The sequence below is a fragment of the Homo sapiens genome, chromosome 12, assembly GCF_000001405.40.
Source record: "Homo sapiens chromosome 12, GRCh38.p14 Primary Assembly".
NCBI lineage: Eukaryota > Metazoa > Chordata > Mammalia > Primates > Hominidae > Homo > Homo sapiens.
In genome coordinates, this window is record NC_000012.12 from 133,237,795 (window position 1) to 133,252,511 (window position 14,717).

Below are 14,717 nucleotides of genomic sequence, written 5' to 3' on the forward strand. Positions count from 1 at the left end.
TCCCTTTACCTCCTGCCATGTGGACTAAAGATTGCTCGCTACCCATTAAGCACTAACGAATGTAAAACAATGGGGCCTAAAATGTCGAAATATCTACACTGTTAGATTTAAATGAATTCAACACATTTTTAATGTATTTTTATTTTTTTAGGCACGTGACCTTGCTGTGTTGCACAGGCTGGCCTCTCTTAATTGTCAGACTCGAAAGTCTACCTTCTTTTTTATTTATTTTATTATTTTTTTGAGATGGAGTCTGGCTCTGTCACCCAGGCTGGAGTGCAGTGGCGCAATCTTGGCTCACTGCAACCTCTGCCTCCCAGGTTTAAGTGATTCTCCTGCCTCAGCCTCCTGAGTAGCTGGGATTACAGGCACGTAGCACCACGCCCGGCTAATTTTTGTATTTTTAGTAGAGACAGGGTTTCACCTTGTTGGCCAGGCTGGTTTAGAACTCCTGACCTCAAGTGATCCACCCACCTCGGCTTCTCAAAGTGGTGGGATTACAGGCATGAGCCACTGCGCCTGGCCTCTACCTTCTTTTTTAAAACAATATGGAGCTTCATGAATTTGTGTGTCATCCTTGCACGGGGCCCATGCTCACCTCTGTGTCATTCCACTTTCAGTACATGTGCTGCCAAAGTGAGCACAAAAGTCCACATCCTTGGATAGTTCAAGTGCAGTGGTGTTTACAACTAACTGATCACAACCACGTATGGATTTCTTTCTCTACTCCCACTGCTTCACTTGACTAGCCAAAAAAGTCTACATTCTTAACTTCAGCACTTCAGTGTTTAAATTGCAAGTGTTCTAAATGAGGACAAACCTCCCCCTAACTTTTTTTTTTTGAGATGGAGTTTTCGCTCTTGTTGCCCAGGCTGAAGTGCAATGGCACGATCTGGGCTCACTGCAACCTCTGCCTCCTGGGTTCACGTGATTCTCCTGCCTCAGCCTCCCGAGTATCTGGGATTACAGGCATGCACCACCATGCCCAGCTAATTTTGTATTTTTAGTAGAGACAGGGTTTTACTATGTTTGTTAGGCTGGTCTCAAACTCCCGAACTCACGTGATCTGCCTGCCTTGGCCTCCCAAAGTGCTGGGATTATAGGTGTGAGCCACTGTGCCCGGCCGAGAATGAACCCCCTTTTTTAAAAAATTTATTTATTTATTTATTTATTTGGGACAGAGTTGTGCTCTGTTGCCTTGGCTGGAGTGCAGTGGCATGATCTCGGCTCACTGCAAGCTCCGCCTCCCAGGTTCATGCCATTCTCCTGCCTCAGCCTCCCAAGTAGCTGGGACTACAGGTGCCAGCCACCACACCTGGCTAATTTTTTTGTATTTTTAGTAGAGACGGGGTTTCACCGTGTTAGCCAGCATGGTCTCAATCTCCTGACCTCGTGATCCGCCTACCTTGGCCTCCCAAAGTGCTGGGATTACAGGTGTGAGCCACCACGCCTGGCCAACGAACCCTTTTTAAGCATTACTTTTAATAAAGCGCAGTACCAAAATTTGAGTTACCAATGCCTATTGTAAATATAGGCTGTCTCCCCTTTCCCTCCATGCTCTTTAATGTGAAATGCAGTCAGTAACACATGACACATTCTAAGGCATACTTACCCACTATTTGTAGATTTTCTCTTCCTTTCTGGACCCATGCTTCCTCGGGTAGACTGTCAGTTCAGTTACTTAATAGCTGTGTGAACTTGAGCAAGTTACTGACCCTCTCTGTAGCTTTTCTCCTCTTTGGCATAATGGGGATAACAATAGGGCCTCTTCCTTGGTGGGACTGAGATAATTAGAGTCAATATTCAGTAAGTGCTCTTTTTGTCATCATTTTGCTTTCTATATACACTAGCACATGCAAAATCTGGTAAGTTTTCTATCATTATGTGTCTTTTAAACAAATTTCCTGGGAATTCTTGCATTTCTTCCATCGTAATTAGCTGAAACACAGAAGGCTGGAAGGTGATTTCGATTAACCTCGTAAGAACCTCTGTTCCATCATGAGCTGCTGTCTTCCATCCTGGGAACACCCACTATCACTGGTGCTCTCCTGAGGGAGCCCTGCCGTATCCGCATCTTGAAGCCGCTGGATGGCCCTGGGATGAGTACCTCTTAGGAGACCTGTCCAACGTCTGTGTGCCTATTAGGGGGCTCATAGCTGTTGGGGATCTGTCATTCGGGCCCCTTACGTAGGCTCACAGAATTAGAGAGAGCCAGTCTTCTGGGGAACACCAAGGGAGATACGCGGGCAGGAAAAGAGAGGGTGTGTCTGGTGTCCTGGGTAGAATTTTTTAGAAGGACAGAGGGATCCTAGGGCTTCGGAGAGTGATTCATCAGCCCTTCCTTTCTTCTTGGAGTTTGAGCCCTTAAAAACCAGATGTGGACAGGGCCAGAGAGCAGGAAAACAGGATCATCCCTTTAAAGCACCCCCCAACATATGACCCAGAGAGGGTTAGGAATGACCCCTTCTTTGGTGTGACTGCCCTGCTCAGAGGGCCAGAGGCTGTTATTTCACAAGCTCAGAAGGGGCTGGCTACAGCCCTGCAGTTCCTTCCTCTGGGTCATGGTTGAGGCCTTCCCCGGGACAGGCTGCTCCAATCATCCGAGTTGTAATCTCACCCCTCAGCGAAATGACCCAGCAGGTGGGGAACGTGACACCCACTGGATTCTGGATCTATAAGCACCACCCAGGTGTCCAAGATGATTTTTCTCCCAAATAAGGCTGAGAATAGGATGAAAGCAAGTGAAGTATCAAAAAACTCAGTAATCAAGATAAATAATATTGCAATGTGGTGTTTTTAAAAAACCAAAATATATGTCAAAGAATCTATGATTAACAGAATATCAAACTTTTGGATAAGACAATGTATATTACTGAGTTTTCCTTTACCTGAAGCTCCACAGAAGCAATAGTTGCTTATTTCCCTCGTAAGTCAGGTACAGGATGGGAAGTGGGGTTGGAGAGTTCATAAATATTTTTGGAGCATATGTGCCAGGTCATCAAATGCCCCCATGACTCTGAGGTGGGCACCTGCCAACCTCATGACAAAATGCCGACCTGAGGTGAGTCATGGGTCTGCAGTCGCAGAAATGGTACAGGGGTGGTTTGATTAAACCAAAGCATTGTAAGTTAGCAGAATATTTCCTGTGAACAGTGGCTTAGAGGTATAAGCCAAAGAAAATAAAAGTACATTGTGAAAGGACAGAATGATAAAGATTTTTAAATCTGTATTTTCTCTACGGAAGTAGACATTAGTTGAAACAACTGATTCTTAAAAATGTGCATGTTTCTATAATCATTCTTTCTAAAAAGGGATAGTGTTAGAGTGAGAATTTAGGGATGAGGCTTTGGTTAAGGGTTCAGTGTTACAGAGAAGAAGTAAAGGTTATGGTTGAGGAGTTAGGTGTTATAGTCAAGAATTACAGGTTAGGTCGGGTTAGGGGTTAGGGGTTAGGGGTTGGGGGTTGGGGGTTGGGGTGCGGGTAGGGGTTAGGGGTTAGGGTTAAGGGTTAGGATTAGGGCTAGGGTTAGGGTTAAGATTAGAATTTGGATTAGGGTGAGGTTGAAGTTTAGGGTGATGGTTAGGGTTAGGGTGAAGGTGAGGATGAGGGTGAGGGTTAGGGTTACAGTTTGCATTATGTTGAGGGTAAGTGTGAAGGTGAGGGTTAGGGTGAGGTCATGGGTTACTACTGTTCAGGTTAATACTTTTCATGATTAGGGCTGAGATAAGTGATACGGTCTCTGGCAAGCTGTCCCTGGATGCAGATTATGAGACAAGGATATTGGTGAAATTATTATTCAGCTATAATTTGCATATTATCCATTGAATAAAGGAGAGGAACCAAAACAGATGGAACAAACAGGGCAAGGTGTTGGGAGAAGCACTAGAGCCCTGCCTGGGCTTGGGCGGCTCAGAGCTTGGGTGATAGTGCTTCAGTGTTGCATAGAATCAGAATTCATCCTGACTGCAGGCATAGACAGTGGGTATTTTATCCTCCCTCAGACAGTGCGTGGCTTAGGTTGAGTTGTGGGGTAAACTCCCAGGCGCTTTTACTCCTTTTGGGTGAATTGACCCGACACCCGGGGAAATTCTCTGACCCTCCAGCAACAATGCACGAAGATCTATGGACAAGCAAGACCTGTGGGGTTTGGGAGGGGCCCAGGGTGGAAACCAACCTGGGCAACCTGGGTTAGGGTCAGGGTTATAGACTGGAGAAGCTGAGGAACAGTGTCTTTGTATGATAAGGGTTGCTATAACCTGGTACGTGAGACTGCGTGATTTATAAATTTACTTGGCTCACAGTTCTGGAGGCTGGGAAGTGGGAGAAGCAGGCATAGCATCTGCTTGGTTTCTGGTGAGGGCCATGTGCTGGGTTAAAACATTGGCAGAGAAGAGCCAGAGGGATTGGACACCTGCAAAGAGAGAGGCAAACGAAAGAACATCCTAGCTTTGCAACAAACCACGCTCACAGGTACTCATCTAGCATTGCCAGATCAAGAACTCTACCATGAGAAGGCAGCAAGCCGATGACGAGGTTCCACTCTAGATTCAAACACCTCCCACTAGGTCCCACCTGTCAACACTGTCATGCCCAGACCACATATCAGCATGAGATTCAGGGAGGACAAACAAACCCCATCCACACCACAGCAAGCAGGGGAGGCAAGAAATGGGAAAAAATTGTCTTTTAAAAAGATTTACCATTCTCATTTGTGCATGAAGAAAGAGTTCCCGGTCTGGGCTCTGAGAGGAGGGTGCTGTGGGTCTTCCCCACATGCCTCTTAAGTCATCCTCCCACTTCTCCAGCTCTGCTCTGGGTCCTGAGTGGCTGGCCTCTGGGAGCATCACCCAGGTCCCATTCCAGGATTTCAGCCAGAGGGAGGCACCAGCCATCAGAGGTGGGGACGGCCTTGGTTTCCTCTGCTTCCTTCCTTCTAGCAGTGGGTTTTCACAAAGGCTGGGTTTCTCTCTGGTGTTTCTCAACTTCAGCTGTACTAGCATTTCTACTCAACCATTTTCTGTGCTGGGGCTGCCCTGCACATGGGAGGGTGTCCAGCAGCAGCCCTGCAGCACCCCCACCTGAGCCCACAGTGTCAGGCAAAATGACCCCATGGAGAAACAGCCCTGCCAGAGTCCTGGGAGGGTCCAGCAGCCCATTCTCTCTTCACCCTTTGGCCCCGGGGTATTAGAGGGTTTCTGCTGTTGCTAGTCTGGGAGCATTTCACAGGCTTTTATTGTTCCTTTTGGCTTTGCCCACACCTCTGTAAATAAAACCTTGAGTTTGCCTTTTTTTTTTATTTGCTGGGATCTAGCACAGTCCTTTTCCTACAGGTAAATGCCTACATGTTAGAACATATCTTAGAAATTACCATCAGCCAATCTTGCTTTAGAAAAAGAACTCATGACTATCTGAGTTTTAAACATGGTGACCAGAATTGAATTTGCAAATATTTTGGTTCTAATATCTTGATAAAACACTAAAGCTATAACATGATGGCTTACCATGAAATTAACATGGAATACTCACTGGGGTGGAGGAGAAGAGTAAATATGGCCCTTGACCCTGGTGGGCTGTCCACAATAACTGTTGCTCTGCCACTTTCCCAGCATTTTAGGGGTTACAGGACCCAGGCTCTGGCAGGCACTTGGTGAAAACTGGAAACAGCTGAAGAACCAAGTCTTGTCCCTCCTTGTGCAGGCCTAGGTTCTACATCCACAGACTCGGATACTGAAGAACATTTAATGGTCTGGCTGCTGGTTAAAGCTGTGATCTACAAATATTTTCAACCATGCAGTGCTCTCAGTGAAAACAAAGCATGCATCTAATAACTGTGCTTTTATTAATTATTTTTTCTCCTCCTAGAAAATGGATTTTTTTTTAACTTTTAGGTTCCAGGGTACATGTGCAGGTTTGTTTTATAGGTAAACTTGTGTTGTGAGGGTGTGTTGTACAGATTATTTCATCACCCAAGAATTGAGCCTAGCACTCATTGGTTATTTTTCCTGATTCTCTCCCTCCTCCCACCCTCCACCCTCTGATAAGCACAAGTGTCTGTTGTTTCCCTCTGTGTGTCCGTGTGTTCTCATCATTTAGCTCCCACTTACAAGTGAGAACATGCGGTATTTGGTTTTCTGTTTTGCTAAGGATAATGGCCTCCATCTCCATCCACGTTCCCACAAAAGACATGACCTCATTCTGTGTTATGGCTCCATAGTAGTCCATGGTTTATATGTACCACATTTTCTTTATCCAGTCTACCACTGATGGGCATTTATGTTGATTTCCTGCCTTTGCTATTGTGCATAGTGCTGCAATGAACATTCACGTGCATGTGTCTTTATCGTAGAATGATTTCTATTCCTCTGGGGATATATTCAGTAATGGAATTGATGAGTTGAATGGTAGATCTGTTTTTAGCTCTTTGAGGAATTACCATACTGCTTTCCACAATGGTTGAACTAATTTACACTCCCACCAACGGTGTGCAAGCATTCCGTCTCCCTGTCACCTTGCCAGCACCTGTTAATTTTTGACATTTTAATAATAGCCATCCTACCTGGTGTGAGATGGTGTCTCACAGTGGTTTTGATTTGCATTTCTCTAATGATCAGTGATGTTGAGCTTTTCTTTCTATGCTTTTTGGCTGCATGTATGTCTTCCTTTGAAAAGTGCCTATTTATGTCCTCTGCCCACTGTTTTTATGGGATTGTTTTTTTTTCCTTGTAAACTTGTTAAGTTCCCAATGGAAGCCAGATATTAGACCTTTGCCAGATGGATATATTTCAAAAATTTTCTCCCAGCTACTCACAAGGCTGAGGCAGGAGAATTTCTTGAACCCAAGAGGTGGAGGTTGCAGTGAGCCAAGATCACGCCACTGCACTCCAGCCTGGGTGACAGAGCGAGATTCTGTCTCAAAAAAAAAAAGAAAGAAAAAAGAAAGGTAGCCATATATAGATATTTGATTTATTTCAAAATATAGAAAAATGGTATTATGAAAGCGCCAGCAGAGCATATTTCTATGGAAAGTATTTACCATTCAACAAATAGTAGCAGAACAATTTGTTTATCCATGTGCAAAGTAAAACTGGGTCCTAACTTCACACCATTTACAAAAATGAATTTAAGGTAGCTTAAAGAAAAATGTGAGGGGTGGAGCCAAGATGGCTGAATAGGAACAGCTCCAGTCTAGAGCTCCCAGCATGAGTGATGCAGAAGACAGGTGATTTCTGCATTTCCAACTGAGGTACTGGGCTCATCTCACTGGGGAGTGTCAGAAAGTGGGTGCAGGACAGTGGGTGCAGTGCACCCAGCATGAGCCAAAGCAGGGTCAGGCATCGCCTCACCCGGGAAGTGCAAGGGGTCAGGGAATTCCCTTTCCTAGACAAAGAAAGGGGTGACAGATGGCACCTGGAAAATCAGGTCACTCCCACCCTAATACTGTGCTTTTCCAATGGTCTTAGCAAATGGCACACCAGGAGATTACATCCCATGCCTGGCTCAGAGGGTCCTATGCCCAAGAAGCCTTACTCATTGCTAGCACAGCAGTCTGAGATCAAACTGCAAGGGGCAGTGAGGCTGGGGGAGGGGCACCTGCCATTGCTGAGGCTTCAGTAGGTAAACAAAGTGGCTGGGAAGCTCGAATTGGGGGGAGCCCACCATAGCTCAAGGAGGCCTGCCTGCCTCTGTAGACTCCACCTCTGGGGGCAGGGAATAGCCAAACAAAAGGCAGCAGAATCCTCTGCAGACTTAACTATCCCCGTCTGACAGCTTTGAAGAGAGTAGTGGTTCTCCCAGCATGCAGCTGGAGATCTGAGAACGGACAGACTGCCTCCTCAAGTGGGTCCCTGACCCCCGAGTAGCCTAACTGGGAGGTACCGCCCAGTAGGGGCAAACTGACACCTCACACAGTGAGGTACCCCTCTGAGACAAAACTTCCAGAGGAACGATCAGGCAGCAACATTTTCTGTTCAGCAATATTCACTGTTTTGCAGCCTCCACTGCTGATACCCAGGCAAACCGGGTCTGGAGTGGACCTCCAGCAAACTCCAACAGACTTGCAGGCGAGGGTCCTGACTGTTAGAAGGAAAACTGACAAACAGAAAGGACATCCACACCAAAACCCCATCTATACATCACCATCATCAAAGACCAAAGGTAGATAAAACCACAAAGATGGGGAAAAAACAGAGCAGAAAAACTGGAAACTCTAAAAATCAGAGTGCCTCTCCTCCTCCAAAGGAACGCAACTCCTCACCAGCAATGGAACAAAGCTGGATGGAGAATGACTTTGACAAGTTGAGAGAAGGCAGCTTAAGATGATCAAACTACTCCAAGCTAAAGGAGGAAGTTCGAACCCATGGCAAAGAAGTTAAAAACCTTGAAAAAAATTAGATGAATGGCTAACTAGAATAACCAATGCAGAGAAGTCCTTAAAGGACCTGATGGAGCTGAAAGCCAAGGCACGAGAACTGCATGATGAATGCACAAGCCTCAGTAGCTGATTCGATCAACTGGAAGAAAGGGTATCAGTGATGGAAGATCAAATGAATGAAATGAAGTGAGAAGAGAAGTTCAGGGAAAAAAGAATAAAAAGAAATGAACGAAGCCTCCAAGAAATATGGGACTATGTGAAAAGACCAAATCTACGTCTGATTGGTGTACCTGAAAGTGACGGGGAGAATGGAACGAAGTTGGAAAACACTCTGCAGGATATTATCCAGGAGAACTTCTGCAATCTAGCAAGGCAGGCCAACATTCAAATTCAGGAAATACAGAGAATGCCACAAAGATACTCCTTGGGAAGAGCAACTCCAAGACACAAATTATCAGATTCGCCAAAGTTGAAATGAAAGAAAAAATGTTAAGAGCAGCCAGAGAGAAAGGTCAGGTTACCCACAAAGGGAAGCCCATCAGACTAACAGCTGATATCTCAGCAGAAACTCTACAAGGCAGAAGAGAGTGGGGGCCAATATTCAACATTCTTAAAGAAAAGAATTTTCAACCCAGAATTTCATTTCCAGCCAAACTAAGCTTCATAAGTGAAGGAGAAATAAAATCCTTTACAGAGAAGCAAATGCTGGGAGATTTTGTCACCACCAGGCCTGCCCTAAGAGAGCTCCTGAAGGAAGCACTAAACATGGAAAGGAACAACCGGTACCAGCCACTGCAAAAACATACCAAATTGTAAAGACCATCGAGGCTAGGAAGAAACAGCATCAACTAATGAGGGAAATAACCCGGTAACATCATAATGACAGGATCAAATTCACACATAACAATATGAACCCTAAATGTAAATGGGCTAAATGCTCCAATTAAAAGACAAAGACTGGCAAATTGGACAATGAGTCAAGACCCATCAGTGTGCTGTATTCAGGAAACCCATCTCATGTGCAGAGACACACATAGGCTCAAAATAAAGGGATGGAGGAAGATCTACCAAGAAAATGGAAAACAAAAAAAGGCAGGGGTTGCAATCCTAGTCTCTGATAAAACAGACTTTAAACCAACAAAGATCAAAAGAGACAAAGAAGGCCATTACATAATGGTAAAGGGATCAATTCCATAAGAAGAGCTAACTATCCTAAATATATATGCAGCCAATACAGGAGCACCCAGATTCATAAAGCAAGTCCTTAGAGACCTACAAAGAGACTTAGACTCCCACACAATAATAATGAGAGACTTTAACACCCCACTGTCAACATTAGACAGATCAATGAGACAGAAAGTTGAAAAGGATATCCAGGAATTGAACTCAGCTCTGCACCAAGCAGACCTAATAGACACCTACAGAGCTCTCCACCCCAAATCAACAGAATATACGTTCTTCTCAGCACCACACCACACTTATTCCAAAATTGACCACACAGTTGGAAGTAAAGCACTCCTCAGCAAATGTAAAAGACAGAAACTATAACAAACTGTCTCTCAGACCAAAGTGCAATCAAACTAGAACTCAGGATTAAGAAATTCACTCAAAACCACTCAACTACAGGGAAACTGAACAATCTGCTCCTGAATGACTACTGGGTACATAATGAAATGAAGGCAGAAATAAAGATGTTCTTTGGAACCAATGAGAACAAAGACACAACATACCAGAATCTCTGGGACACATTCAAAGCAGTGGGTAGAGGGAAATTTATAGCACTAAATGCCCACAAGAGAAAGCAGGAACGATCTAAAATTGACACCCTAACATCACAATGAAAAGAACAAGAGAAGCAAGAGCAAACACATTCAAAAGCTAGCAGAAGGCAAGAAATAACTAAGATCAGAGCAGAACTGAAGGAAATAGAGACACAAAAAACCCTTCAAAAAATCAATGGATCTAGGAGATGGTTTTCTGAAAAGATCAACAAAATTGATAGACCACTAGCAAGACTAACAAAGAAGAAAAGAGAGAAGAATCAAATAGACGCAATAAAAAATGATAAAGGGAATATCCCACTGATCCCACAGAAATACAAACTACCATCAGAGAATACTATAAACACCTCTATGCAAATAAACTAGAAAATCTAGAAGAAATGGATAAATTCCTCAACACATACACTCTCCCAAGACTAAACCAGGAAGAAGTTGACTCTCTGAATAGACCAATAACAGGCTCTGAAGTTGAGGCAATAATTAATAGCTTTCCAACCAAAAAAAGTCCAGGATCAGATGGATTCACAGCCGAGTTCTACCAGAGGTACAAGGAGGAGCTGGTACCGTTCCTTCTGAAACTATTCCAATCAATAGAAAAAGGGGGAATCCTCCCTAACTCATTTTCTGAAACCAGCATCATCCTGATACCAAAGCCTGGCAGAGACACAACAACAAAAAAAGAGAATTTTAGACCAATATCCCTGGTGAACATCGATGCAAAAATCCGCAATAAAATACTGGCAAACCAAACCTAGCAGCACATCAAAATCTTATCCACCATGATCAAGTGGGCTTCCTCCTTGGGATGCAAGGCTGGTTCAACATATGAAGATCAATAAACATAATCCAGCATATAAACAGAACCAATGACAGAAACCATATGATTATCTCAATAGATGCCGAAAAGGCCTTTGACAAAATTCAACAACGCTTCATGCTAAAAACTCTTAATAAATTAGGTATTGATGGGATGTATCTCAAAATAATAAGAACTATCTATGACAAACCCACAGCCAATATCCTACCGAATGGGCAAAAAGTGGAAGCATTCCCTTTGAAAACTTGCACAAGACAGAGATGCCCTCTCTCACCACTCCTATTCAACACAGTGTTGGAAGTTCTGGCCAGGGCAATCAGGCAGGAGAAGAAAATAAAGGGCATTCAATTAGGAAAAGAGGAAGTCAAATTGCCTCTGTTTGCAGATGACATGATTGTATATCTAGAAAACCCCATCGTCTCAGCCCAAAATCTCCTTAAGCTGATAGGCAACTTCAGCAAAGTCTCAGGATACAAAATCAATGTGCAAAAATCACAAGCATTCTTATACACCAATAACAGACAAACAGAGAGCCAAATCATGAGTGAACTCCCATTCACAATTGCTTCAAAGAGAATAAAATACCTAGGAATCCAACTTACAAGGGACGTGAAGGACCTCTTCAAGGAACTACAAACCACTGCTCAATGAAATAAAAGAGGATACAAACAAATGGAAGAACATTCCATGCTCATGGGTAGGAAGAATCAATATCATAAAAATGGCCATACTGCCCAAGGTAATTTATAGATTCAATGCCATCCCCATCAAGCTACCAATGACTTTCTTCATAGAATTGGAAAAAACTACTTTAAAGTTCATATGGAACCAAAAAAGAGCCCGCATCGCCAAGTCAATCCTAAGCCAAAAGAACAAAGCTGGAGGCATCACGCTACCTGACTTCAAACTATACTACAAAGCTACAGTAACCAAAACAGCATGGTACTGGTACCAAAACAGAGGTATAGATCAATGGAACAGAACAGAGCCCTCAGAAATAATGCCACATATCTACAACCATCTGATCTTTGACAAACCTGACAAAAACAAGCAATGGGGAAAGGATTCCCTATTTAATAAATGGTGCTGGGAAAACTGGCTAGCCACATGTAGAAAGCTGAAACTGGATCCCTTCCTTACACCTTATACAAAAATTAATTCAAGATGGATTAAAGACTTAAATGTTAGACCTGAAACCATAAAACACCTAGAAGAAAACCTAGGCATTACCATTCAGGACATAGGCATGGGCAAGGACTTCATGTCTAGAACAGCAAAAGCAATGGCAACAAAAGCCAAAATTGACAAATGGGATCTAATTAAACTAAAGAGCTTCTGCACAGCAAAAGAAACTACCATCAGAGTGAACAGGCAACCTACAGAATGGGAGAAAATTTTTGCAATCTACTTATCTGACAAAGGGCTAATATCCAGAATCTACAATGAACTCAAACAAATTTACAAGAAAAAACAAACAACCCCATGAAAAAGTGTGTGAAGGATATGAACAGACACTTCTGAAAAGAAGACATTTATGCAGCCAAAAGACACATGAAAAAATGCTCATCATCACTGGCCATCAGAGAAATGCAAATCAAAACCACAATGAGATACCATCTCACACCAGTTAGAATGGCGATCATTAAAAAAAAGTCAGGAAACAACAGGTGCTGGAGAGGATGTGGAGAAATAGGAACACTTTTACACTGTTGGTGGGACTGTAAACTAGTTCAACCATTGTGGAAGTCAGTGTGGCAATTCCTCAGGGATCTAGAACTAGAAATACCATTTGACCCAGCCATCCCATTACTGGGTATATACCCAAAGGATTATAAATCATGCTGCTATGAAGACACATGCACACGTATGTTTATTGCGGCCCTATTCACAATAGCAAAGACTTGGAACCAAGCCAAATGTCCAACAACGATAGACTGGATTAAGAAAATGTGGCACATATACACCATGGAATACTATGCAGCCATAAAAAATGATGAGTTCATGTTCTTTGTAGGGACATGGATGAAGCTGGAAACCATCATTCTCAGCAAACTATCACAAGGACAAAAAATCAAACACTGCATGTTCTCACTCATAGGTGGGAATTGAACAATGAGAACATATGGACACAGGAAGGGGAACATCACACACTGGGGCCTGTTGTGGGGTGGGGGGAGGGGGGAGGGATAGCATTAGGAGATATACCTAATGTTAAATGAGGAGTTAATGGGTGCAGCACACCAACATGGCACATGTATACATATGTAACTAACCTGCACGTTGTGCACATGTACCCTAAAACTTAAAGGATAATAAAAAAAAAAGAAAAATGTGAAAGGCAAAACTTTAAGAAGAAAACATAGAACTACCTCTATGATCTCATGGTAGAGGATTTTTAAAATAAGACACAAAAGCACTAACCATAAAAGAAAAAACAGATAAACTTGACTTCATAGCAGTAATAACTTACATTTATGAAAAAACAAATAAGCAAACAAAAAGCACTTTGACAAAAGCAAAAATGCATGCCTCAGATTGGGAGCAAATGTTAGCTATGATACATATGACAAATGTATATCATTTTATATATGTGTGTGTATACACACACACCCTTATGTACTGCAGGTAGAAATATCATTTCCTTCAACTAGTTAGGAAAACAATATAGTAGTAATCTAGTAAACTTTTGTGGTACATTTTCTATAACCTTATACTGCCAGTCCTAGGTTTTAATGAGAGAAAATCATGCATATATATACTTTGAGATATGATGTAAGAATATTTGAAGCACTGTGGTTTGTAATAGTAGAAATCTGGAAATAACCCAAAGATCCTTCAACAAAAGAATGGGCAAATAATTCAGAAGTATTCACAAGATGTAATAGTACGTATCAGGAAAAACAAATAATGTACAGCTATTCATATCAACAAGAATACATCTCCAAAGTATAACATTGAAGGAATAAAGTCATGAAGGAATACACGTAGTGAAAGAAACTACTTGTAATGTGTTCTAAAACATGTAATACTCTACAACTGCAACTCGTCATTTAGAGATATATACATATGTTGTAAAACTGTAACGAAAAGCAATGGAACTATAAACACAAATCTGGTTGTGGTTACTTCTAGGAAGAGGCAGGGGATGTGACTAGAAAGGAGCCCACAGAGGGCTCAGATGCCGGACGGGGGGGTTGTTTGCAGGTTCCTAACACATTGATACTAACATCTGTTTATTCAGCTGGTTTGTCCTTAAATGCACTATGTAATCACGTGATATATATCATATACATTCTTTAGTATTTTTCAGAGTTTTCATAACCAAACAGAGAAAAACATTTGTGCCTGACCAATACCTATCCCTAAGTAGGTTACATATTTTATAGGCAGAACAGTCACCAAAAATTATAATATATGAGGCTTTGACCCAATTACACTACCAAATTCCCCCATTAAATTTTTCCTGTGGTTTTAAAACTCTTTATCTGTAGGAATCCTGCTTCCATATAAGATTTTTTTCTGGAAGGGATATATTACCTTTTTAGTGTATTGTCTACTTAAGTGTATCATAAACTGCCACTACAACAGCCAAGGAAAGAAGTAATGGGAGGGCCACATGTCCACCAGGTTAATAGAGATGGGAGGAAAGGGCCAGGGGCGTAATGTTATTCAGTGTGGGTGGACTGGCGGCCTGAACTCACTGTGACCCCATTGGAGAAGCAGCAAAAGTGCAAAAGACACAGGAAA

General features: G+C 42.7%; 1 pseudogene, besides 1 other annotated feature; it reads right to left on the minus strand.

The window, feature by feature from the left end:
• RNU6-717P (RNA, U6 small nuclear 717, pseudogene) lies at positions 541-644 on the minus strand (annotated as a pseudogene).
• Positions 2,921-3,080: a silencer, noted in NCBI's record as "fragment chr12:133817301-133817460 (GRCh37/hg19 assembly coordinates)". NCBI's record gives its function as "represses an EF-1alpha promoter that drives an FKBP-Casp9 reporter gene in an ReSE screen in both phorbol 12-myristate 13-acetate-treated (for megakaryocytic differentiation) and untreated K562 erythroleukemia cells {active_cell/tissue: K562 | K562(+PMA)}" and the evidence as "EXISTENCE:reporter gene assay evidence [ECO:0000049][PMID:32094911]".